Source organism: Homo sapiens, chromosome 19 (genome assembly GCF_000001405.40).
Source record: "Homo sapiens chromosome 19, GRCh38.p14 Primary Assembly".
NCBI lineage: Eukaryota > Metazoa > Chordata > Mammalia > Primates > Hominidae > Homo > Homo sapiens.
This window is the reverse complement of record NC_000019.10, coordinates 38,659,673-38,684,534: the sequence shown is the minus strand read 5'-3', so window position 1 is coordinate 38,684,534 and position 24,862 is coordinate 38,659,673. Positions and strand designations below refer to the sequence as shown.

The 24,862-nt window shown below is 49.6% G+C and overlaps 1 protein-coding gene across 6 annotated transcripts in view, besides 15 other annotated features; it reads right to left on the bottom strand.

Moving 5' to 3' along the window:
• The window catches only part of ACTN4 (actinin alpha 4), an 83,941-nt gene that overhangs the window by 47,055 nt on the left and 12,024 nt on the right, over positions 1-24,862 (bottom strand). The window lies entirely within an intron of this gene.
• Positions 413-1,196: an enhancer, noted in NCBI's record as "NANOG-H3K27ac-H3K4me1 hESC enhancer chr19:39173979-39174762 (GRCh37/hg19 assembly coordinates)". NCBI's record gives its function as "activates a minimal SCP1, AML or CMV promoter by ChIP-STARR-seq in primed H9 embryonic stem cells {active_cell/tissue: H9 hESC(primed)}" and the evidence as "EXISTENCE:reporter gene assay evidence [ECO:0000049][PMID:30033119]".
• Positions 5,751-6,336: an enhancer, noted in NCBI's record as "H3K27ac hESC enhancer chr19:39168839-39169424 (GRCh37/hg19 assembly coordinates)". NCBI's record gives its function as "activates a minimal SCP1, AML or CMV promoter by ChIP-STARR-seq in primed H9 embryonic stem cells {active_cell/tissue: H9 hESC(primed)}" and the evidence as "EXISTENCE:reporter gene assay evidence [ECO:0000049][PMID:30033119]".
• Positions 6,087-6,146: an enhancer, noted in NCBI's record as "active region_14588". NCBI's record gives its function as "activates an Ori minimal core promoter by ATAC-STARR-seq in GM12878 lymphoblastoid cells {active_cell/tissue: GM12878}" and the evidence as "EXISTENCE:reporter gene assay evidence [ECO:0000049][PMID:35858748]".
• Positions 6,753-6,912: an enhancer, noted in NCBI's record as "active region_14587". NCBI's record gives its function as "activates an Ori minimal core promoter by ATAC-STARR-seq in GM12878 lymphoblastoid cells {active_cell/tissue: GM12878}" and the evidence as "EXISTENCE:reporter gene assay evidence [ECO:0000049][PMID:35858748]".
• Positions 9,740-9,819: an enhancer, noted in NCBI's record as "active region_14586". NCBI's record gives its function as "activates an Ori minimal core promoter by ATAC-STARR-seq in GM12878 lymphoblastoid cells {active_cell/tissue: GM12878}" and the evidence as "EXISTENCE:reporter gene assay evidence [ECO:0000049][PMID:35858748]".
• Positions 9,850-9,919: an enhancer, noted in NCBI's record as "active region_14585". NCBI's record gives its function as "activates an Ori minimal core promoter by ATAC-STARR-seq in GM12878 lymphoblastoid cells {active_cell/tissue: GM12878}" and the evidence as "EXISTENCE:reporter gene assay evidence [ECO:0000049][PMID:35858748]".
• Positions 10,090-10,139: an enhancer, noted in NCBI's record as "active region_14584". NCBI's record gives its function as "activates an Ori minimal core promoter by ATAC-STARR-seq in GM12878 lymphoblastoid cells {active_cell/tissue: GM12878}" and the evidence as "EXISTENCE:reporter gene assay evidence [ECO:0000049][PMID:35858748]".
• Positions 16,459-16,538: an enhancer, noted in NCBI's record as "active region_14583". NCBI's record gives its function as "activates an Ori minimal core promoter by ATAC-STARR-seq in GM12878 lymphoblastoid cells {active_cell/tissue: GM12878}" and the evidence as "EXISTENCE:reporter gene assay evidence [ECO:0000049][PMID:35858748]".
• Positions 17,377-18,066: an enhancer, noted in NCBI's record as "OCT4-NANOG-H3K27ac-H3K4me1 hESC enhancer chr19:39157109-39157798 (GRCh37/hg19 assembly coordinates)". NCBI's record gives its function as "activates a minimal SCP1, AML or CMV promoter by ChIP-STARR-seq in naive H9 embryonic stem cells {active_cell/tissue: H9 hESC(naive)}" and the evidence as "EXISTENCE:reporter gene assay evidence [ECO:0000049][PMID:30033119]".
• Positions 17,512-17,806: a silencer, noted in NCBI's record as "tiled region #467; K562 Repressive non-DNase unmatched - State 14:Gen5'". NCBI's record gives its function as "represses a minimal TATA promoter and a strong SV40 promoter by Sharpr-MPRA in K562 cells {active_cell/tissue: K562}" and the evidence as "EXISTENCE:reporter gene assay evidence [ECO:0000049][PMID:27701403]".
• Positions 18,067-18,756: an enhancer, noted in NCBI's record as "OCT4-NANOG-H3K27ac-H3K4me1 hESC enhancer chr19:39156419-39157108 (GRCh37/hg19 assembly coordinates)". NCBI's record gives its function as "activates a minimal SCP1, AML or CMV promoter by ChIP-STARR-seq in naive and primed H9 embryonic stem cells {active_cell/tissue: H9 hESC(naive and primed)}" and the evidence as "EXISTENCE:reporter gene assay evidence [ECO:0000049][PMID:30033119]".
• Positions 18,132-18,426: an enhancer, noted in NCBI's record as "tiled region #8317; HepG2 Activating non-DNase unmatched - State 14:Gen5'". NCBI's record gives its function as "activates a minimal TATA promoter and a strong SV40 promoter by Sharpr-MPRA in HepG2 cells {active_cell/tissue: HepG2}" and the evidence as "EXISTENCE:reporter gene assay evidence [ECO:0000049][PMID:27701403]".
• Positions 18,132-18,426: a silencer, noted in NCBI's record as "tiled region #8317; K562 Repressive non-DNase unmatched - State 14:Gen5'". NCBI's record gives its function as "represses a minimal TATA promoter and a strong SV40 promoter by Sharpr-MPRA in K562 cells {active_cell/tissue: K562}" and the evidence as "EXISTENCE:reporter gene assay evidence [ECO:0000049][PMID:27701403]".
• Positions 18,757-19,446: an enhancer, noted in NCBI's record as "NANOG-H3K27ac-H3K4me1 hESC enhancer chr19:39155729-39156418 (GRCh37/hg19 assembly coordinates)". NCBI's record gives its function as "activates a minimal SCP1, AML or CMV promoter by ChIP-STARR-seq in primed H9 embryonic stem cells {active_cell/tissue: H9 hESC(primed)}" and the evidence as "EXISTENCE:reporter gene assay evidence [ECO:0000049][PMID:30033119]".
• Positions 23,587-24,277: an enhancer, noted in NCBI's record as "H3K27ac-H3K4me1 hESC enhancer chr19:39150898-39151588 (GRCh37/hg19 assembly coordinates)". NCBI's record gives its function as "activates a minimal SCP1, AML or CMV promoter by ChIP-STARR-seq in naive H9 embryonic stem cells {active_cell/tissue: H9 hESC(naive)}" and the evidence as "EXISTENCE:reporter gene assay evidence [ECO:0000049][PMID:30033119]".

Genomic DNA, 24,862 nt, shown 5'->3' with positions numbered 1-24,862 from the left:
GACGTCAAAGGACAAAGGGGCCCCTGCTGCTCTCAGGGGCAGATCTGACTCCTGGCCCCAAAACAAGGGAGGAGTGGTTTGTCCTGCAGGGGGTGGGGGACCAGGGTGGGGCAGCACTGGGAAGGTGTGGGTTCAGTTTTCTAGGAAAGGCCTAGGTGGTCCTGAGTGCTCTCACTACACCATGGGAAGAGGACCGAGGAGGACTCTGGGTACCATGTCAACCTGCCCCATGAAAGCCACTAAGGGGCTGAGCCTGAACCAACAACAGCAAGAGGCATTTTTATGACTGGGTGGGGCATAAGGCCTACCCTACTATAATTACACAAATGACTCACATTTATTGAGCACTTAGTGTGTACCAGGGTTTGTTCTGCGTGCTCTAATTTTACAGATAAGGCTCTGAATGCTGGGGGATATACCCATGGCCACAGGGCTGTTAAGCAGCAGAGCTGGGACCCCCGCAACCCCCAAACTAAACTCAAGCCTCACCAAGTCTGCTTTCCACGTCTTGTGTTTGCTCTGTTAGGCCCTGTGTGAGCTACTTCACATGGTTCCTCTCATTTGATCTACTCTAAGGAAGACACAAAACCAAGGGCAGTCCCAGGAGGTCCTTGGCAGATTCCAGCAGCCACAGTGCAGCAGGCCCCATGCTGAGCCACTGGGTGAGTCATGGGGGAGGGCGGGCAAGTCAGGTGACCGGGTGAGAATCAGAGCTATGCTGAGGTGGCCTGGTTACCTTGACATTCCTGTGATTCTGCCAAGGTAAAAAGTAATCCAAGGAGTTTGCCTTATATGGGCATGATGACAGATTTCAACAAGACAGCATGTTAACTGACCCCATACCAAATCGGTTCCCGGACTGCACAGGCAACGCCCGATAAAGCTGCTCTGGAAATATAGGAAATAACAATTTATGATGGGCTATCACCGGTGACTCACAAAGGTGCAGCCCAACTGCCATTGTGTGTCTTTTAGAGAAGGGGGGGAAAAGTTGGTGGCCTGTGGGCCAAATGGCTGTCTCATTCTCCCTCCCACCAATGGCCTAGGAGGCCTGGCTCAGACCCCTCCTCTGTTCACGGGGCCTGGCTCAAGGAGGGCTGGAGGAAATCAATTTCAAGCTGGGGCTGAACAGCAAGTCCTGTCTGGGTTAGAGAGCCCTCACCACCTGCTTTCTCTGGAGGAGGGCGGGGGGCGAGAAAGAGGAGAGGCAGGGGCTGCACTGGGAGGGAGGCAGACCCTTTCAAGCCAGCACGGAACAAAATGGTTAGGTCTGAGGGCACTGCACTGCATGAGAACCAAAGAAACTGACTGGGCCTCACAGGATTCCAGAGTCATCCCAGCCACTCCAAACCGCTGGCACCAGATAGCCCCTCCCAGGCACTCCCCAGTCCCCCAACAAGGGGGAGACTCACTGCTCTGAGCCTCTCCCAAACTTCATTCGTTCTCATTTTAAAATGTACTAGGCATCTATCACGAGCCATACACTATCCTGAGCACTGGGATTAAACAGACATCCCTGCCCTCATGCAACTTACAGTCTAGTGGAAGAGCCAATACAGACAAAAACAAGCTAAGGAGACAGGGATGGGTACCATAACACGGAGTAATGTGACTGGGGAGGGGAGGGAATCAAGCTCAGCAGGTCAGGAAAGGCCTCTCAGTGGAGATGACATTTGAGGCTGAATAAGTAGAAAGAGCCAACCAGGGGGAGATCATTCCCAGGGAAGGTGCTAGGTGGGAACTCGGGCCTGGTGAGTGTGGCTGGAGCAGAAGGAGCTTGTAGAGGGTGGGAGCCTGAGGAGCTTCGGCTGGCAGTGTGGGTTTCATCCTAAGAAGAGGAAGCCTTTGGAGGGCCTCATGGGGGAGGAGCACAGCCAGATTTCGCGCGGAGAACGCCGCCCCAATCCCAGTGGCCGTGTGTGGACTGCAAGGTGGTGGCTTGGGTGAGGGTTCCAGCAGTGAGGCTGGAGAGAACTAAAAGGACCTGGGGTAGATTCTGAAGGCAGAGCTAACAGGACTTCTTGACCTTCATCAATGCCTCCCCTCTACAGGGCCAGGTATGGTGGCTCACACCTCTAATCTCAACACTTTGGGAGGCCAAGGCGAGAGGACTGCTTGAGGCCAGGAGTTCAATCCAGCCTGGGCAACATAGTGAGACCCTGTTTCAATTTGGAAAAAAAACAAACAAAAAAAGAGACAGGGCATGGTAGCTCACACCCGTAATCCCAGCACTTCGGGAGGCTGAGGCAGGCAGATCACTTGAGGCCAGAAGTTTGAGACCAGCCTGGGCAAGATGCAAGATCCCATCTTTATTAAAAATAAATAAACAAAATTTAAAAAGAAAAAAGAAAAGCAGTTGCTTTGTTGGAAAATATCCTCTTTGCTTTAAATCTGAAATCCTCCAGGCCAGGAGCGGTGGCTCACGCCTGTAATCCCAACACTTTGGGAGGCTGAGGTGGGTGGATCACTTGAGGCCAGGAGCTTGATACCAGCCTGGTCAACATGGCAAAACCCCGTCTCTACTAAAAATACAAAAATTAGCCAGGTGTGGTGGTAGGCCCCTGTGGTCCCAGCTACTCAGGAGGCTGAAGCACGAGAATCCCTTGAACCCAGGAGGCGGAGGCTGCAGTAAGCCGAGATGGCGCTACTGCACTCCAGCCTGACCAACAGAGCAAGACTCCATCTCACCCAAAAAACAAAAAAAAAGATTGAAAGTTGAAACCTGCCTTCAGGTAGCATCCCATGTATCAGGAAAACTGAGATTCAGGACAAGGAGAGAGAATCACAACCAAGGGTCTGGGGGAGACCCTGACAGTGCTGCCCTGGAGGAGTGCACAGCTCGGTCAGAGAGGGACACTGGCGAGCCAGTCGCTACAGGGAGGTGTGATCTGAGGACAGCAAAGGTCAGGTGACACCTGATCTGGGCCTTGAAAGGAGAGCGCGATTGCGATCAGTGGTGACCTGGAGAGAAGGTTGTTCTGCAGAGTGGGAACACCAAGGGCAAGAAAGACAAAAGTACCACAGATGTTTGGGGACCCCAGGAGAAGTGGCAGGGATGGTGTCAGCCGGGGCCAGAAGGTGGAGAGACTGAAGAGCTCAGAACCTGCTCTCTGGGCAGTGGGGGGTGGAGATCTCCCAGAGTAACCTGACTAGATACCAGTCTCAGAAAGGTAGGGTCTAGGGAGCCTCAATCCAAACCAGGAGACTGGAGAAGGCCAGTCAGGAGGCTGCTGAGGGAGACATGGGCACAGATGACGACAAGAGCCAACGTTGGAGCATTTCCTGTGCATCAGATACCATCTTCACAGAGTGGTTAAGTCATCTGTCCAAAGCCACACAAGCTCAGGCAGCCAGCAGCAGCACTGTGAGTTTAGAATCTGCTTTTTTTTTTTTTTTTTTTTTTTTCTAGAGATTGGAGTCTCACTCTGTCACCCAGGCTAGAGTACAGTGGCGCAATCTCAGCTCACTGCAACCTCCACCTCCCGGGTTCAAGTAATTCTCCTGCCTCAGCCTCCTGAGTAGCTGGGATTACAGGCACATACCACCACATCCAGCTAAGTTTTGTATTTTTAGTAGAGACGGGGTTTCACCATGTTGGCCAGGCTGGTCTCGAACTCCTGACCTCAGGTGATCTACCCGCCTTGGCCTCCCAAAGTGCTGGGATTACAGGTGTGAGCCACCGCACCCGGCCAAGACTCTGCACTTTTAAACCCTCACTATATGGTCCTGAGTAAGGACAATGGTAGGAATAAAGAGAAGGAGGAAGGTGAGGGTTCTAAGAGATATTCAAGGGAAAGAAATCAAACTTGGTGCCTGTTACAGGATGAGAAGTCAAAAGCTGACTCCAAGGTTTCTGACTCGGATGGCTGACAAATGGGCAATGCCAAGCCCAAGAAGTGGGACTTGAAAATGAGTTTGGTCTCAGACACGCTGAGACTGAAGTACGTACTGCACAAGCAGTGGGCATCAGGCAACGTCAGTCTAAAGTTCAGCAAACAGGTCATTTGCTCACGTGGGCATTCATTCAGTCACTCATTCAACTACTTCCTGAGGCCGGGCGCAGTGGCTCATGCCTGTCTGTAATCCCAGCAATCTGGGAGCCAAAGGCGGCCAGATCACTTGCAGTCAGGACTTCGAGACCAGCCTGGCCAAATGGTGAAACCCCATCTCTACTAAAAATACAAAAATTACCCAGACGTGCTTGCTTGAACCCAGGAGGTGGAGGTTGCAGTGAGCCAAGATTGTGCCACTGCACTCTAGCCTGGGCGACTGAGTGAGACTCTGACTTTAAAAAAAAAAAAAAAAAAAAAAAAAAAAAAAAACTTCCTGAGCTCCAGCTATGGACAGGTGTGGTGCTGGGGATACACGGACAAATACAAGGTTGCTCCATCAAAGACCTCAGCGTCTGATAGGGGAGAGAGATGCATCAGTAAATAACTGCGATAGAGCGTGGTGAGTGAGTCAGGACTACAGGCATGGGCATCATCCCCACAGATGGGGTACTTAAGGCTGAGGGGAGGGGGTAAGTTCCTTCAGGGAAAAAGGACATTGTGAAATGCCCATGTGTAAGCAGTGGACAGAGGGAGAGAATTTAGCCATAGGAGATGAGGAAGAAGAGTCAGAGAAACAGAGAGACTGTGATGTCAAGGAAGCCAAAGGGAGTTTTTGTTTTTTTCTTAAGACATGGTCAGAAGCATTAAATATAACAGTATGTGGTTATGTTTAAAAATACATACATTGGCCGGGTGCGGTGGCTCACACTTGTAATCCCAGCATTTTGGGAGGCTAAGGTGGCAGAATCGCTTGAGGCCAGGAGTTCTGAGACCAGCCTGGGCAACAAAGCAAGCCCAGGAGTTCAGAGGCCGCAGTGAGCTATGATCTCACCACTGTACTCCAGCCTGGGTGACAGGGCGAGACCCTGTCTCTAAAAAAATACACACACACACACACACACACACACACACACGCACACCCAAATCTATTTGAGCACGTATGGGTAATGTCTGGGGGGAGTGTGTTGGGAGACACTGATGAAACAAGTCTGGCAAAATGCTGATAATCACTGATGCAGGTGACAGGTACAAAGGAGTCCCACCACTTTTGCATATGGTCTGTGTGTGTGGGTTATGTATCATATATTGCAGAGGTTGAGGGGAGTGAGGTGGGGACCAGCACCTGTATCCCCAGCTCCTGACACAGTGCCGGGCACACTGGAGGTGCATGGTACACCATGGTAAGTGATGCGCAGATGCCCTCGGGGATGGAAACCAGGCAGTCTCTGGAGACAGAAGACTCAGTGGACTTGTGGGGCTGAGAAGTATTCGGGAAATAAGAAAATGGAATCCACAAGGAAAGGCTTACACATAAACTGCGCCCAGGCCAATAGCCAAGCACGTGTCTTTTTCCCAGGATGTAACCCAGCTTGGAGGCCATACAGCACCATTCTGTTTTCCTACAGGAGAAAGACTGGATTGCTCCAAGGTAAAAGCTGAACTTTCCCACTCCCACACTCCAGTTTCAAATTCCCACTAAGTTCCCTGTGTTTTCCTTCTCTCATTATCCTGCAAAGGCCGCTGGGCAAAGCAAAGCTGGGCCCCTTTCAAAGGCATATCAGAGCACACCCCACTACCATCAGATAAACAAGCCACCTCTTTCTTGCTTTTCTCCTCTCCTGTGGAACAAGGTTGCATTTAAAAGGAGAAACAGTCCCGGGTTTTGTCTCCGAACAGAGCGAGGTCCCAGGGGCAAGGACTTGGGGTAACACACAGTGGCTGATTCCACGGGATTGGTCACCACTGACAGCGAAGAAGGTGTGGAGGGACACAGGAGACAAAGCCCAAGCCCAAGCCAGACAGCAGAGAGAAAAAGGGTGGCTGTGTCGCCCTGGGTCCCATGGCCCGGAGAGAGCCAGGGAGCTATCAGATTCTGCTCAACCACACTGCGTATCCTCTATCTTTCTCTAGATTTTCCATGGTACTGACTTCTCTGCCGATGCCCCATAAATAACAATGGCCACCAAAGACAGCCTAGACTTCCCTTCCTTCCCTGGTATTGCAGGTCTCGAGGCTCAGCCCAATAAATGGAGACGAGTGGGCTGTCCCAGAACACAGCACCATAGTAAACCCAGCTGCAGGAAGGTGGCCAGCCAGTCAAACCACAGGGCTGTGTTCTTAGGTCTTTAGCTATCCCTAGAAACACTTTACTGTCGCTTTCACGATGTAAGTTAATTTTACCTGCAGGTAGCAATTTCTGTATAAAAAGGAAGTCTCAAAAAGGAAAAAACAAAAAGGTCTACAGCGTTTTAGCCACACGTATCATTTTTAAGGGCAAGGGCCTTCTCTTTGTCTTACTCACCTCTGTGTCCCTGCTGCCCGGACACAGGTCAATCCTAGCTCAGTAAACATGAGCACAAAATAGGATGAATTATCCTGTGCTAACGATGATTTTCCCACCTCTCCATGGGACAGTGATGTCTCCCTCTTCTGCCTACTTGCAAAGCATCCTGTTTGGCCAGGCGCGGTGGCTCACACCTGTAATCCCAGCACTTTGGGAGGCTGAGACAGGCAGATGACTTGAGGCCAGGAGTTTGAGACCAGCCTGGCCAACATGGTGAAACATTGTCTCTACCAAAAATACAAAAATTAGCCGGGTATGGTGGTGTGCACCTGTAATCCCAGCTACTTGGGAGGCTGAGGCAGGAGAATCACTTCAACCCGGGAGGTAGGGGTTGCACCCACTGCACTCCAGCCTGGGCAACACAGCGAGACTCCGTCTCAAAAAAGAAAAAGAAAAAAAAGAAAAGCATCGCATCCTGTTTGTGTTTCATATCTAGCAGGGACTGATGCAGAACTCAGGACAGCTGGCTGAACACTGGGCCTAGAAGTGTCCCAGGTGAGGACTTCTTATGACCTTCCAGAGCACACTTTTAGATGGGATGCAATGAGCCTGGCAGGGGTGAGTGGGGCCTGGGCGGTCATGATACCCTTGTCCTCAGAGGATGGACCATGGGTGATCCCTCTACTCCTAAAGCCAAGCAGAAAGACAGAATGGATCTGCCACTCATCCATCCAGCCACTTGTTTGAGTGTCTCGACAAGTGATGTCTCCATCTTCTGCCCACTTGAAAAGCATCCTGTTTGTGTTGTGGCAGATCCATTCTGTCTGTTTGGCTATCTATTCATTCAATACATATTTATTTAGTGCACACTTACATTTGCCTTGACAATGTCCCACATGGTAGGGACACAGTGGTGAACAAAATAGATTCTCTCTCTGCTCTCGTGACCCTCGAGAGGGAGAGCCAAGGATGGTTGGAGTTAAAAGGAGAAGTAGAGGTGATGGACATGCTCCTAACCTAGGCTGGAGGTGTCAGGTGCGACGGCCCTACAAATAGTGAAGCATAAACTGCCATCTGAAGAATGAGGAGGAGGTAGGTGGCGAGCTGAGGCGAAAGGGGCAGAGGCAAGGGCCCCGTGTGAAGTCCCTCAGGAGGCAGGAATGAGCATGGAGCAGAGAGGCAGCTGGCATGCGCCCGGAGCACAGAGAGGAGAAAACAGATCCTGCAGGGCCTTGGGGACTTGCAGGTTTGATCCTGAGGGCAAGGGACACTGATCAAGATGTCAAGCAGGATGTTCTTTGGCCCCTATGTGAAGAATAGATGGGAGTGAGTGGGGGGATGCAGGGAAACCCGCCAGGAGCTGTTGCTCGAACTTGGCATCAGCACCTGGGCCACTCTAGTTCTCCACTGGTGCTCCAGGAGCTAGAGCACCTGGTCATGCTCTTACAAAGGGACAATGAGGCTGCTTCAGGAGAAGCTGTGGGACCTCAGGGCTTCCTGAGATGAAAAGCTCCTACTCAGGCCTTTCCGGGCCTGTCTGTGGTAGAGAGCAGAAAGGCAGCCTGTTTACCTTCCACATCCGGCCCCAGAGGCCCTGCCCGGGTGGGAGGTTTCCCAGAGGGAAGGACACATGTGGTGTTCTGCAGGATGCAAAAGACCTCTGTAAGCCTCCTCCCGTGCACTCTGAGGCCCCCTGGCCTCCCTCAGCCACGTCTCCAGCCCAGTCGCAGGACACTGCTATACAACACACTCGTCTCTACTGGCTCATATTCCTTATCCAGCAATACCAAGAGTCAGCCCCTAAACCACAAAGGTTCCATCCACCACTCTGTGTCTGAGATAATCGGGGATGAGTAAGAGATTGCTGCTTCTTTCCAGGAATCTTACTTCCAGGACCCCTTAAATGCTCAATGCTTACTTATCTAGCAGTTGGCTTTCTGGAACTCAGGATAAATTTTCAAAGAACCGCTGGCTTCAAATGCAGACACCATAAGACATCTCTATGGCATTAGTTCTTTGGCTGAAGTTTCCTAGTTGAATAAAGATTCCCAGATGCCTCGTCCCTCAACTAATAACTCCCATATGGGACTCCAGATCCCACAGAACAAGACCCTATAAAGGCTCCATCCCGCTGCATCCTGACAGCCCTGTGGTAGTCAGATTATTGGCCCCATTTTGTAAAAGAGAAAATGGAGACTTCCTTGCCCAAGGTCCCACAGTAAGTAGCAGGGCCAGGCTGAGAATCTGAGTCCATGGCTTCACAGCTTACGTTTGGGAGAAGCCAAGTCTACAGCCTTCCAACACAGGCGAGAGCTGCGGGCAGCCTCTCAGCACCCAACAACACACTGGGGCCCTCTGCTTGGCCTGGCTGGGTATGGCAGGAGCCCCAGGAACCTCCGTACCCAGGCCTTGTGCTCTATGAGGCCTCTCAGTTGGGTAAGGAGAAGCTGGGCCCACCCAGCTGACCTTTCATCAGGAAACCTTGTGGTAGAGGCTGAAACCTCTGCTCAGCACCTCACCAGCCAAAGTGCACATGATAGCAACATGGACTTGAGCCTGATAGGTGGAGGCTTCCACAGCCAGCGATCAAGAACGCGGCTCAAGATGTTCACAAAGATCCTCCCTCTTGAAAGAAATTTCTGGGCTTATTAAAAAGCAACAAAGTCACCAGGGGCAGCGGCTCACGCCTGTAATCCTAACACTTTGGGAGACCAAGGTGGAGGATCACTTGAGCCCAGGAGCTCAAGACCAGCCTGGGCAACATGGTGAGACCTCACCTCTACAAAAAAAATCAAAAAATAAGGCAGGAGAATCACTTGAGCCCAGGAGGTTAAGGCTGCAATGAGCCATGATTGTACCACTGTGATCCCACTTGGGTGACAGAGCAAGACCCTGCCTCAAAAATGCAACAAAACCAAGAAAGCAACACCCAAGCCAGGTTGGCTGTACTCTCCCATATGCTTTCCAGGCCAGGATTAATTCTTCGGCTGGTTTCAGACCTCCGATTTCAAAAATATCTAGTTTGTGCTTGTCTACAAAGGAATGTGCCTGGGCATCTCCCACCAGCAACACAGAAAACAACTCCTACTGCTATCACCTGTTCTTTGAGATCAAGCCATATATAGGCAGACTGAGCCCAGAGGTTTGGCCACAGAGCTAATTCAACTCTCCAACTCCACACGGCTGTTTAGACAGCTTCCCCCAGATACGTCATTCAGCCACATGCTTGTCTCCAATCTCAGATGCCTGGATGAAGGTGAAACACCCAAGGACTCGTACAACTCTGGGCTACTGAATCAGCGATATCACGAGTTCTCTCCTTTCGCCATACCCTATTCTCCAAGACCTGAATGGTAGGCACACTGATGTCACCATATGCCTGAATTCCAAGAGGCACTGTGGGCCCTGAGTCTTAATACCAGGGACACGAAGTCAGAGGTAAAGAGAATCGATACTCGGCCCTAATGTTAGAGAAATAACCTAAAAAGGGAAGAGTCTGGTTGGATTCTCAGTTCTGTCTTTTACTGACTGAGGGGCCTGGGGCAAGTCACGTCACCTCTCTGAACTTTAGTTCTCTCATCTGTAAGGGTAGGGATAAAAATGCTGGGACTGACGTAAAGTGAAGCTGAAGAAAGAGACGGAATGGTGCTATCTGCTTTAATGAGCTGTGTTAGGGATCTGTCCCAGCATCGAAACAGATATGCTCCACGGCATTCCACTCGGCTGGGAAGTTCTTTTTTCACTGTTGTACACCCAGTACCTAAAACAGTGACTAGCACGCAATAAATATTTGTAGAATCAAAGCTCTCATTGCAGCTAGAATAAAATCCAAGATCCTCGCTACCGGCACATTCTGGCTGCTGTCACCCCTCTGACTTCAACTCACACTGCTCTCCCCACTGTCTTGGTCTCATTTTATTTCTCTCTTCCCACAACCCTGGGTCCTCCTGCCTAGAACAGTGTTCCCTTCTCTGAGGTTGGCTCTAACTCTCCCTCCAGGCCTCACTTCACTGTCATCATCTTGGAAAGTCTCCCCTGACAGCTCCCACACAATCTATTGCAAGTCCCCCACTGTCCCCTCTTAAAGGACTCTGGTCTTTTCCTTCATAAAAATAATCACACCGGGCGCAGTGGCTCACGCCTGTAATCCCAGCACTTTGGGAGGCCGAGGCGGGTAGATCACAAGGTCAGGAGTTCAAGACCAGCCTGGCCAAGATGGTGAAATCCCATCTCTACTAAAAATACAAAAATTAGCCGGACGTGGTGGCAGGCACCTGTAATCCCAGCTACTCAGGAGGCTGAGGCAGAGAATTGCTTGAACCTGGGAGGCAGAGGTTGCAGTGAGCTGAGATCACGCTACTGCACTCCAGCCTGGGTGATAGAGACTCCATCACAAAAAAAAAAAAAAAAAAAATTATACATATATAAATATATATATATAAAAATATATATAAATATATAAATATATATAAGTATATATAAATATATAAATATATAAATATATATAATATATATAAATATATAAATATATATAATATATATAAATATATAAATATATATAAATATATATGAATATATATAAATATAAATGAATATATATGAATATATATAAATATATATGAATATATATAAATATATATAAGTATATATAAATATATATAAGTATATATGAATATATATAAATATATATTCATATATATAAATATATATGAATATATATATAAATATATATAAATATATATGAATATATATATATAAAAAATAAAACCACAATTTGGAACACTCTATGTATGTCTTGGGTTTTCATTGTTGGTATTTTTTAATGCCTATTGTCCCCGACTAGGCTGTGTGCTCCATGAGGACAAGAAGAAGGACTATTCTGTTCACATCTCATTACTCAGCACCTTGTTTACGGCACATAGTGGGTATAAATAAATGCTCAATAAATGATGAATAGGCCGGGTGTGGTGGCTCATGCCTGTAATCCTAGCACTTTGGGAGGCTGAGGTGGGGGGATCACCTGAGGTCAGGGGCTTGAGACCAGCCTGGCCAACATGATAAAACCCTGTCTCTATTAAAAACACAAAAACTGGCCAGGCATGGTGGTGCATGCATGTAATCTCAGCTAATTGGGAAGCTGAGGCAGAAGAATCGCTTGAACCCAGGAGGCAGAGGTTGTAGTGAGCCAAGATTGTGCCACTGCACTCCAGCCTTGGAGACAGAGTGAGACTGTCTCCAAAAAAAAAAAAAAAAAAGAATGGATGGCCAACCCCATCATCTCCATCAATCATGCTGAGATGATCAATCACTTAAAAATGGTTACAGGGGCCGGGCATGGTGGCTCACGCCTGTAATCCCAACACTTTGGGAGGCCAAGGCAGGTGGATCACTTGAGTTCAGGAGTTTGAGACCAGCCTGACCAACATGGAGAAACCCCGTCTCTACTAAAAATACAAAATTAGCCGGGTGTGGTGGCACATGCCTGTTATCCCAGCTACTCAGGAGGCTGAGGCAGGAGAATTGCTTGAACCCGGGAGACAGAGGTTGCGGTGAGCCGAGATCGTGCCATTACACTCCAGCCTGGGCAACAAGAGCGAAACTCCATCTCAAAACAAACAAACAAACAAACAAAGAACATAGATCAAATAATAGAACCTTGGCAGGGTGTGGTAGCTCACACCTGTAATCCCAACACTTTGGGAAGCCAAGGCGAGTGGGTCACTTGAGGTCAGGAGTTCAAGACCAGCCTGGCCAACATGGAGAAACCACGTCTCTACTAAAAATACAAAAATTAGCCAGGTGTGGTGGCATGCATCTGTGGTCCCAGCTACTCAGGAGGCTGAGGCAGGAGAATTGCTTGAACCTGGGAGGTGGAGGTTGCAGTAAGCCGATATCACGCCACTGTACTCCAGCCTAGGCGACAGAGAAAGACTCCGTCTCAAAAAAAAAAAAAAAAAAAAGAACCACATGTAAGAAATACTGCTGTGTGGGCCATACGTCTGGCAGGAAAGCCCACTATGAGAACTCCCGCCATGTTCGTCCCTACCCTAATGTACCTTAGGTGGCACACCCAGGGAGAGCGAGAAACTCTCTCATCCTAATCGCTGTAGTATAGCAGAATAACATGACAGGCCAGCAGGACAATGAAGTCTACGCTGCCCAGCTCTTTTTCTGGGTGGAAAGCCCTCTTTCCCTCACAGAATTTCCATCCATGGAGAGCAGTGAGCAATGCAAAGCATTACAACCATTTTTCTTCCAGCTATTTCTAGGCACACAAATAACATCTAAGGACTCAAGGCCAGCCTGAGAAACAATTGAGCCAGGAAATACTCAAGCCAGTGCAGAGGTAACAGAGCCTAAAAAAGTTAAAAGCAGAGGGCGATGCCTTCATGGCGAGCTTCCTGGCTTTTCCCAGACAGACTGCCTGCTCCAAATGCGAAGTTTGATAAGGACTGTGGGGCTAGTACTCCAATCACAGGGACTCAATTAGAGTTTAGGAAAAAATGGCCTGAAGTTTTCAGGGATAAGTGTCCAAATTTGTTTCCAAGTCAACAAATTCATTGCACATCTACTATATCCCATTTTCCTGAAATCCATCAACTCTCCTATCAATAAGAAACGCTGCATTCAGGCTTTTCCATTTACAAAGATCTCAGGATGGATCTCTGTCACAAAACCTGGACTGCCAGTATCTTCCCAAAGTCAAATTTAAGAGATCAATCCTAAAGAAACTATTTCTGTCCATCTGCCACATGGGTACAAATTCTGAACTGGCAGTTCATTTATTAATAGAAAGCTGGCATTGTTCACCAGGTTATTGTGCGTGCAGAATGGCTGCCTCTGTAGAAAAGTGTTGCTTTGGGCTACCCAAAACAAACAAACAAAAAAACTTTCCACTATTTTGGTTCACAAAAACCTGAAGCCTAAAAATATGCAATATGGTGGGAGGAATTTTGAGGAGTCAACTCTTAATTATCTATGGTGATGGGAAAGGGGGAGGAGTCCGGAGGCTGGAAAACCACAGCTAAAGCAAACCCTTTTTACTACCATCCACTTCAACCACCTTTTATCAGAGCTGTCACTAAGGGGCAAAGTACAATTTTCTCGCTCCTAGTGAGAGGATTAAGCAGCAGCAATTCAGACAAGAGGAAAGGGGAGACTAGAGGAGAGGCAGAGACAGGGTCAAGACCATGCAAGGTTAGGGGTCACAAATGGGTAGCTCTTCACACCCAATAGGCCCTATTTTGTATGGCCTGCAGGTTTTTTTTTTTTTTTTTAAGTTGGAGTATTGCTCTGTCACCAGGCTGGAGTGCAATGGCGACATCTCAGCTCACTGCAACCTCCGACGCCCTGGTTCAAGGGATTCTCCTGCCTCAGCCTCCCGAGTAGCTGGGATTACAAGCACAAGCCACCACGCTCAGCTAATTTTTGTATTTTTAGTAGAGATGGGGTTTCACCATGTTGGCCAGGATGGTCTCAATCTCCTGACCTCGTGATCCACCCTCCTCAGCCTCCCAAAGTGCTGGGATTACAGGCGTGAGCCACTGTACCCGGCCAGGTTTTTAAGTTGAATGAAATGCCCCATAAAACTCTCCATTTCCAGCTTCGTGAAGTCCCAGGTCCCCATTCCCACCTGGCCACCATCAGCTAGAGCTCTGCAGTGGCCACCCCAGTCCCCACCCAGGCTACTTCCCTCCATTTTGTCACCTCACCTACCATGTGATAATCCAAGACCACAGTCCCTCAGCCCCAGGAGAAGAGAACCAGGTGCACACTCACATCCATTCTCCTCACAAGGGTCCAAATGACAGGATCACCTGCTCTGAGCAACAAGATACAGGCCGGCCTATCCTTGCTGTTCCTGAAAGGGGGCTGCATGTGGAGCTGCCCTGGCTTTGCTTCCACCTTCCTGTGACCTCCACCCCACCATGCTCTTGCACTCCCACAGATGGCCTGAAATCCCAGGTGGAAGTGGAGGGTGTTACGTGATCCCCAACTCCCTTGAGTGGAAACACCAAGTTTCCTAGAGGACCTAGGAGATGTTCTTTCCAGCCACCCTATCTGAATGGTGGGGCTGGGAGGGGCATATGGAGGAGAAAGGGGTGGCTAGGAAAATGTTAGAAATACCAGATACACTGGCTCTGGGGACCCCTGAGGAACGACCCCCTTCAGCTGCCAACACTTTCCAATTGGCGCTAAGAGTGAACAGCTATTTCCACTAAAGATCAGAAAAGGACTGAAGTTTCCATACATTGAAGACTGAGCCTTGAGATTCTTGGCTGGACTGCAATTGCCTCTCCCTCCTTCCCCCAACGCTTGCTTCCAGCTACCCAAGGAGTCTTTTGCTTGTGGAGCTAGTGAGCCAGCATTCTGAGTGACATATTCCAAAGTGTCCCCAAATAACAAAATCCCAGGGCTGCAACCATGAGGGTGTCAGCTCCGGCACTGTTACCAGCCTGTTAAAAAGTGGTGCAAACCTCACCAACTTCCTGAGGCCACGCTGGGCTCCGCTTCCTGGCAGTTACCACAAAAATGTGGCACCAAATGCAGCTACTAAAACAAGCAGCAGCTCGGGCAACCCAAGGGCCACCATCTTCCTAGGTGATGGCTAGGGATGGCTTCTGCCACCCACACCACAGTGATCTCCTCCCCAGCTACCTGTGCTCTAAGTAAAAACAGCATGCTTGCAGCTTCAAGACTAGTCCCCTACCCAGTCCCATCTACTCCAAACCAGACTGGGTCACCTATGCCTTTCCAATGTAGAAATTCTTCAGATGCCATTGACAGGGGACACCTCCAAACTCTAGTTTCCTTGGCCAGGAGATGCATCCTTCTTGCCTCCTTCTTGCCTCAATCTGTCATTCCTTTCCAGCAACATGCCCCAAGCCAGGAACTAAGAAAAAGCTGGATTTTGGCTGGGCGCGGTGACTCACGCCTGTAATCCCAGCACTTTGGGAGGCCAAGGCAGTGGATCACCTGAGGTCAGGAATTCGAGACCAATCTGGCCAACATGGTGAAACCCCGTCTCTACTAAAAATACAAAAATTAGCTGGGCACGGTGGCAGGCGTCTGTAATCCCAGCTAGTTGGGAGGCTGAGGTAGGAGAATCGCTTGAACCCAGGAGACAGAGGTTGCAGTGAGCCAAGTGCATACCACTGCATTTCAGCCTGGGCGACAGGGAGAGACTGTCTCGAAAAAAGAAAAAAAGCTGGATCCCAAGGTGACTCCTCAGCCCTGGGGAGCCTACGAAACCATACACCAAGAACCAAACACACAACTCTCCTGGAGGTCGATTTATAAGGGAGGCAGCTCTGAACACCTGAGCTCCGAGACACACAGAGCACATTGGAAAAACCCTTTTCAAACCCATGAAGGCGAAGTCAATGGGTTTACTTCAGTAAGTCAGTGAGCAGTAAAACAAGACCACATTTACATCTGCATATCGCCCTAACACTGTTCACTTCCATCATGCAATTCATTGTCCATCTTTTCTTTTTTTCTTTTTTCTTTTTTTGCGATGGAGTCTCACTCTCTTGCCAGGCTGGAGTGCAGTGGCACGACCTCGGCTCACTGCAACCTCCGCCTCTCAGGTTCAAGCAATTCCCCTGCCTCAGCCTCCTGAGTAGCTGGGACTACAGGCGCGCACCACCATGCCCAGCTAATGTTTTGTATTTTAGTAGAGACGGGGTATCACCATGTTGGCCAGGATGGTCTCAAACTCCCGACCTCGTGATCTGTGCGCCTTGGCCTCCCAAAGTGCTGGGATTACAGGAGTGAGCCACTGCGCCTGGCCCTTCATCGTCCATCTTTTCTTTAAGGACAGGGTTGGGTTGGTTTTCTTTCTTGTTGTATCTCCAAGCCTAATATGGTATCTGGGTAAATGTCAGGTGGATTGAAGAGAAAGAATATTAACAAATCACAGGATCTAGGATCACAGGAAACTTACATGGCTCTCCTGTTTAATCTTCAAACTTCCTTCTAAAGCTGTTAGGATGTTAGGAGGGGCACAGGAAGGGGGGCACTCTAACTGTATCCTGATCCTGCATTAGCATTTCAGAGGCCGTTGGTTCCATCAAGAAACTGGACTGTGCAAAGCATGAAATGAGACACCACATTACAACCTCATCTGAGTAATCACCCAGGGTTTATTTGTAATTCTAAGGAACAGGCACCTCCAGAGACATAACTCCTTCCTTAACCAGGCCTGGCTCTTCTGACTGCCTTCCGCCGTATAAATAGGAAGCCAGCTTGCATATTTTGCATTAATGCCTTCACGCAGGGCTGCTTTGAGTTTATTTTTGTTGCTTTCATTTTAAGACTGTGTTTATACCTCTTAGACTTCCAGCCAGAGGAAAAATGACAAGATACAAACCTTGTCCTTTTTTCAGGGACGCTCCAGACGGTTCCTGGAGGCACATGGGAAGATTAGCGACTCAGAGATGCCAAGTCACTGGCATTGGGTAGTTCTCCAAAATGGTTTTTTTTTTTTTTTGGTGGAAGAAACAGATACATCAGACTAGTCCAGCGTCTCAGTTTCCACACTTCATAACAATGGGGCACCGTGCACCTAGTGTCTAACTTACCACGCTGCCTTTGGGCCACAAATTCCATACTGTAACAGCCAATTACCCAAAACACTAAATAGGGAATGGCTCAAAAAAGGCTGTCTCTGAAAAAGCAGCAGCATTTTGATGAGCAAAAATAGTAAGAGAGGATTTTTTAAACTTAGAAAAACGAGGAAAGTTGAACCCAGCTAAGAATATTTCTGAGACACCCCCCACCCCTTGTGATTTTTCTCCCGCTAGGATTTTCCCTTGACTCGCCTCTTTAGAGACTGCTAAACACACACACACATACACACACTCATTTTTTAATCCCACCAACTCTCCTCGCCCCAAGGCCAGAGGCTTGGCGGTGACAGCTTCGAACAATGACATCACCCTAGGTTTGCCTCCTTGGCAGGGTCACCAATACTGTTTGCAGTCAATTTCCTGTAAAGGCTCTTTAAGGCAGGAAACTAGTCCTGTGCCTTGAGTCCTCCCCCTGTTCTGAGCCATCGTGTCAGGTCAAAACAAAGACTTTTTGTGTTGTTGTTTTTTTCCCCTTTTAGGAAAACAAGACTTCCCTGCACTTTTAATGAGCACCTTAATTACAAGCTAAAGAATTAGATATATTTACGGATGACCTCATGCTCGCTGATAATTAGCAATTTGAAAGACCTGGCACATCCCTAGACTCAGTTCTTTCTCCTTCACCCCCTCCCCCAAGCATTCAGGTTAATTACTAAGCTTGACCTTCCAAAACAAAGTGGGTTGGGCCCAGTCAGTCCCTACCTCCCCCAGAGCTCCCCAGCACCGAGGGGCTTGTTCCTCCCTCCCACTAAGTCAAGAATGGAAACTGCCTTAGAGAGGGTTGATTAGCCTGGGATAATGATCTAGGAGGGGTGACAGATTTCTGGGGGCCCCACTCTAAGTGTTGACAAGTTTTAATTAATGCCCAGGCTAATTGAACCCTGGCACAGTCAAGGGGAAGAAAACTGCTCATCTCAGAGGCAAGAAGTGTTTGGATATGCACAGTCCCAGCCGTGATGGCGGGGAGGTGTCTCCGAGCGGGCTCCCACTGCGGACCTGTGTGTACTTCGTGTTCTCCTGGCACGTGGATCCCACAACTGGAGATGCAGCTGACTCAGGCAGTTACTTTCCATACATTTTCTTGTGCTAGAAGGGTGTCAACAGCCTGATCAGGAAAGCGCAAACCGGGTGGCCTTCCCTTAGGGTCCTGCCTCAGGCCAACAATGGGCAGCTCCTGAACAAGGCTGCACCGCCCCACCCCCAGCCCCCATCGGTTGTCACTCCGTTGTAACATTTTCCAAATTTGCTTCAGGCCTGCACCCTGTTAGGGGAGAGGCTGGGAGGCGGACATTCTCCTCATTCTTTTGCCTTATTAGGTTGTGGATTTGATTGCTTTTGGGGGGGACAGGGGCGAAGTTGAAGAATGGCATCAGGAAGTGACCCCAGGAAAGGGGGGGGCGCGGGAGGAAGGAGGAAAAGGGAATGGAGCAGCAGGCGTGAGAAGCACTGTTGGGAAGAGGCCTGGAAGGGGCAGGGCTCCTCCAAGCCCTCTAGAAAGTCCCACGTTCCAGGTCGGCAGCTGGGCACAGGCTCCTGTGCACCTCTTGGCCCCATCTGACAGCATTTCTGGGCAGTTATTTTTAGGGTTATCAGTGGGAAGCCCTTCCTGCTTCTACATCACACACCAACTGAAGAGAGGGCAGCCTGACTCCAGGCTGTGGGATGTTTCTAACTTGAGTTGGACTTTGCTTTGCGGGGAAGGGGACCCAGGGAAAGAAGGGAACCCGGGGAAAGAGCCCCCCGGCTGATAGCAAACTTAGTAACAAGTTAAATTACTCATGAAAGAACCTTCCTGGCACTGCCTATGGCACATCCCAACACAAAATTGTTCAGGGCCTGTAACTCTGAAACAAGAAGCCACCTCCCAGATAATGAGGCCCAGATGGATGCAGGGGCTGGGGAGAGGGCTGCGTTAAGTCACTTGCTCAAGTGCCCACTGCCACTTGTTGGAGGGCACTTCTTCGAAGTTGCTGGCTGGGCTCAGGACTTGGCGCTTCCTGGGGAGCACTGGAGGAAAGGGGTGTATGTTTTGGTTTCCCACTGAGCTGCGTATTTCAGCAGGCCCCTTTGAGGGGGAGACTCAAGTAGCAGATCCCACCTGGATGCAGGACCATGTGCCATTGAAATCATTTTGGGAAGCTGCATTTATTGAGCACTTACAATGTACCAGGCACCAGAGTGCTTCCTGCGCACTATCACGTCTAATCCTCAAACTGAGGATAGGATGATGCCCCTTTTCAAAGAAGGACACTGAGGCTTAACCCCCGCCACCTGCCCAGGGTCGCACAGCCAGCCGGTGGTGGAGGAGGTGGGTGTGGAGCCCAGGTCGGCCTCCCTCCATGCTCTGGCCCAGCCTTCTTGCCACTGACACCTTTCACTACCTCCTAGTTCTGGGCAGTGGGGAGTGGGGGATGTCAAAGGCACTCTCCCACAGGAGCTTCAGTGCTCTCAACACCCCCTCCCGGGGTGCAGCTAGCTAACTGCTTGGGCCCAGGGACAGCCTGTGGTACTGCGAATCCCAGTGACATCTGAGCTGCCTCCTATCTTGGTGGGTAGGCTGGGTGCTATCAGCTAACCACCAGCTGAGCAGGTGGCTCCTCCCAGCCCCTGGGACCATGCAGGAAACTCTCTGATCCTGAATAGCCTTTAACTTCCCCAGAAAAAACTCTCCCAAAGTGGGAGTGAAGCAATACATGCCTCAAATACAAGTAATGAGCTCTAGGTTCTCTTCTCAAAACATGTCCACCTCCTTATCATCTATGCCTTTCAAAAAAGAGGAAGGCAGCATCTCATAAGGACTGCTGGGCAGGGCCTCCCCGGAAGTCTTAACCAGGTGGAAAAGGAAATAGGAACCGGCTGTGCTAATATCCCCCAGCCCTCTCCTTCATGGCACTGCAGTGCTCCCGTGCCCAGGCTGCAGGGACGGGCTCAATCCAGCAACACTCACCACCCTCGCTATCTCCACTGAATCCTTCTATGGTAAACCTACTGATGCTAGGCAGTCTAATCCTTTAGGATGGAGGCTGGAGTTCTCCTGGATGATTTCTGCCCCTACCTTACTTGCACGAACTGAGCTATATTACAGCTGTCATGTGTTATCTGAAGTGGGGAGAAACACATCTGAAACCACACAAAGAGGCAAGCGCCGCTACCCTAACCTTATCCCACAGTGGGACCAGAATGCAACTCGGTTTGTCGGTGTGGGGAAGGCAATATCAAGGACACTGCGGTATTTAAGTCACACATTTGGCCATGAGCATCTGAATGAGTTTAAAAAAAAAAACACAACACTGGAGTATTTCCTGGGATGGGAACGCTAAGTTCCACAAGCAGCACTAAGGCAGTTATTTAAAGAAAAGAATAGCACCTGGAAGCGTAGCTTGGCAGGCAGGAATAAACTGAAGGCAGCACACTCCTAGGCCACCCGCGTTGCAGGGCAACAGAGGAGCTGTGGCAACCCAGCCTCGCCAGCAGACTGGGAGCCGATCCCACTTCTCAATACAGGGCGGCCGTTCCGGCTGCGCGTGGTCATCTGGGCGGCAGTGTGCAGCACCACACGCCCTGAGGGGCTGAGACACAGGGCTTGGGGAGACCCTTGGACATGAGAAGGGAGTCTCTCCATTCTTTTTGTCGAAACCTGTGCTAATTCTGAAGAGGCCATCAGCAGGCTGAAAACATATGCCTCAGAAGGCACCCCCTCCCACCTGGGGAGAAGAGTCTGGCCCACTCACGATATCTGTGACAGTGACAGGACGCATGAATGGATACGGACCCAGAACGACAGGTCTGGCTATCACAGGTTCTAAGACATGGCCAAGATGAGCATGGTACCTCATCCTTCAAACCAGCAGCTCCCCGAAGACGATGCTCATGGGGACAGGAACTGGTAGCGCTACTCCAAAGAGGCAGCTAAGAAATGTTCGATTGCACGCCGGACCCCCTAATACTTGCCCTCGGCAACCTGCCCGCAGCGGGGGCAAAGGCCCGCCCCTCCTGCACACTCACCTCCTTTATGAAAGTTTCCATGACTGACCCCACCTGCCCTGATTCACCCCTTTCCTCTCCCGGGACACAGCTAGAGTGCTGTGAGCTTGTCGGTGTGCCGTTTAGTGTCCTTCTGAGGTCTCATGTGGCCTTGCTCTCTCCCCAGCTACACCGCGAGCTCTTTGAGAGCACGGACCAGGTCTCCGGTTTCTCTCATACCCCTAAAGGCTCGGCACAGAGCTCTGCTCTGAAGAGGGGCCCAGCGAGGGCTGCTGTCTGGCCATGGCGGTCATATTTCTACCTGAGTGCTGGACTCTGGGGCCCAAGAAGCCCCAACTCATGTTACACAAGAAGCCGGTTGGCTATAAAATGTGGCCGGGCGCAGTGGCTCACACCCGTAATCCCAGCACTTTGGGAGGCTGAGGCGGGTGGATCACCTGAGGTCAGCAGTTCACAACCAGCCCGGCCAACATGATGAAACCCCGTCTCTACTAAAAATACAAAAAACTAGCTAGGCGTGGTGGCCGGCACCTGTAATCCCAGCTACTTGGGAGGCTGAAGCAGAAGAATCACTTGAACCCAGGAGGCGGAAGTTGCAGTGAGCCAAGATTGTGACATTGCACTCCACTCCTGAACAACAAGAGGGAAACTCTGTCTTTAAAAAAAAAAAAAAACAGACCCACTTTGCTCAGCAGCCCCTAATTCTGTTACCCAAGTGGTGACTGCTGGAGTCTTTCAAAGGACCTTTTATGTCTTTATAGTGTGATAGAAAGAGGCAGCTCCCCCTCCAAGACAGACTTTCCTATCTGCAGCAGCTTGGAGCAGGTTCAGCTCAGCATAAATGCATAATAAGCCACCCACCATGGAAACTTACAGCTGTGTCCCAAACGTGGGGTAGGACTCAACCTAATCCGACACATTTTCCATGTGCCATGCACCTCTTCCCACTCTGAATTGATTTTATAAAGTGGAAGTTTTGTTTTTGTATTTAAGGGGATAAGAATAAACACACACACACTTATCTCCCCTCCTATACAGCTACTTAAAAGATTTAACAAGTTCACATGGCTATGCTGCCAGGAGAATGGAAACCTCGCCATCTTCTTTCCAGCTGAAGCAGCTGGGCTGGCTGCACCATCACAGGCCACCATAATCATTTGCTCCGTTATACTCTACCCACGGGGCGATTTTTGTTGTCAAATCATCAGTGCTAAGGCTGAGAGAATCCCAGCCCATGTTCACTCTAGACAACCCATGAAGGTAACTTCTTGCTGGGTGCTGTGTGTTCAGAGGCAGGAGTGTCTATCAATAGCCCAGAGCTCCCTGTTGCTGTTCCTCCCTCCTTGAGTAAAAGCCACATAACTCGTTTGACAAGCTCTGCCTTCAAATGGGGAGTTGTGGGTCCAATGAAACCTACTGAAACCTGTCATATTCCTGGACTGGTTTCCAGTGAGGTACAGAAAGCTAAGCACCTCAGACTGAATCAGCCTGTATGCCTGTCTCTTTCTCTGAACTAGAACCACCCTCACTCCAACTGACCAAAGGAAACAAGGAGGAAATACTAAGTGAAAGAGGGATTTATAGAGAAGGAAAGGACCTAGGAGAAAAGCCAGTTTAAAAATCAGGCTGCCAGGCCGGGCGCGGTGGCTCACGCCTGTAATCCCAGCACTTTGGGAAGCCGAGGCGGGCGGATAACGAGGTCAGGAGATCAAGACCATCCTGGTTAACACGGTGAAACCCCGTCTCTACAAAAAATACAAAAAATTAGCCGGGCATGGTGGCGGGCGCCTGTAGTCCCAGCTACTCGGGAGGCTGAGGCAGGAGAATGGCGTGAACCTGGGAGGTGGAGCTTGCAGTGAGCCGAGATTGTGCCACTGCACTCCAGCCTGGGCAACAGAGTGAGACTCCGTCTCAAAATAAATAAATAAATAAAAATAAATCAGGCTGCCATCTTCTACAATACTTATTGGAAAAAAAATCAGGCTTCCTGGCTTCCAACTTCAAAGAAGGAGACTCAACATTTTACAAAAGATGCTTTGTAAAGCAAGTGGCATCCCACCAGGTAGAAATGGCCTCTTGATGGGACCAAAGGAGGCTGGAACTTGTTCATGTTGTAAAAGTTAAGCTCCCTAAGAGAGCCACACTACAAAGCCATTATGAGTAGTACACAGTGCCATAAAACTCCAGATTCAAAGTTACCAACGCTTTAATCAAATACACGTGCCGACTGCCGAAATCATCACAGAGATAACTGCAGCTTTTGTTTGGCTGATTCATGTTCTGCCGTCTTGGGGTTCCCACTTTAGAAGTCAGTTCTGGTTTGGCCTGTCCAGGAGGCCTGGGAGGAAAGGGTAGGAGCGCCAGAGTCCTGGAAGCATGAGGTTCCTGACCTACTGGCATCTAAGAGGGACTGAGTTTGCAGGCGCAAGTTGAATGTAGACTCATCAGCACTTCTAACAACACAGCTCTAAGCAATCTGGCTGTGCCCATCTCTTCCACGGGCTCCGCTCTGACCACTCGGGCCTTTCTGCTCCTCGGGGGCCCCCTTGCTTGGTTTTCTCTGTTGGAAGCGCGTTCCTCTGGTGCTCTCTTGGTTCTCTCTTTCTCATCCGTTAAGGAACAGCTGAAATGCCACCTCTTTGAGACCTTCCTCTCCATCTGAAGTACCTGCACTGCACACTCCTCCCCTCACCACCCGCTCGCAAAGCCATTCCCAATCACTAGACTTCAGTGTAGTGTAGAAATAACAGCATAAACTTGAAAGCCTCAACTTCTACATTCAAATCCTGGCACTGTCACAGGGGCAAGTGGCTTAAAGGCCCATGGATCCATTTCTGCATGTAAGGGTAACAACACCTGCTTCACAAGATTATACAAGTGAGTCCATGGGTCGGGCATGGTGGCTCGCGCCTGTAATCCCAGCACTTGGGGTGGCTGAGGCGGGTGGGTCACCTGAGGTTGGGAGTTCAAGGCCAGCCTGACCAACAAGGAGAAACCCCGTCTCTACTAAAAATACAAAAATTAGCCAGGCATGGTGGCACGTGCCTGTAATCCCAGCTACTCGGGAGGCTGAGGCAGGAGAATTGCTTGAACCCAGGAGACGGAGGTTGCAGTGAGCCAAGAACACGCCATTGCACTCCAGCCTGGGCAACAAGAGCGAAACTCAGTCTCAAAGGAAAGAAAAAAAAACAAAAACCAGTCAGTCCATGGGAAGCACTTAGAATAGTGTCTAGCACAAGGTAAAATGCTAGCTGTTATTTAATTTATTGCACATAATCCTATCTGAAGTTACCTTGTTCATTATCTATATGCATGCTGTCTCCCCCACCAGCCTGTGATAGATCAAGAACGTGTAGAAATAAGGCTGGGGGCGGTGGCCCATGCCTGTAATCCCAGCACTCTGGGAGGCCAAAGCGGGTGGATGACCTGAGGTCAGGAGTTGGAGACCAGCCTGGCCAACATGGCAAAACCCTGTCTCTACTAAAAATACAAAAATTAGCCGGACATGATGGCCACGCCTGTAGTCCCAGCTATTTGGAAGGCTGAGGCAGGAGAATAATAGCTTGAATCTGGGAGACAGAGGCTGCAGTGAGCTGAGATCCTGCCACTGCACTCCAGCCTGGGCAACAGAGCAAGACTCCAACTCAAAAAAAAAAAAAAAAGATCATATAGAAATAAGATGGAGGAAGTTTTGCATTTGATCATCTGATTTCCTTGGTAGCCACAACCAATCCCAAATAAGGGGGCACACTCCCCAAAGACCCTCACTGCCCATACTCTGACATAATTGAACCCACAGAGCTTGAGCTGCTGCTCAGAAGTCTCATGTTTAAACTATGCTTGGAATGTCTGATAGGAACATGCATTTATTTTTAGGCAAGAAAGTTGTCTCCTAAGCTAACCCTGTGGCC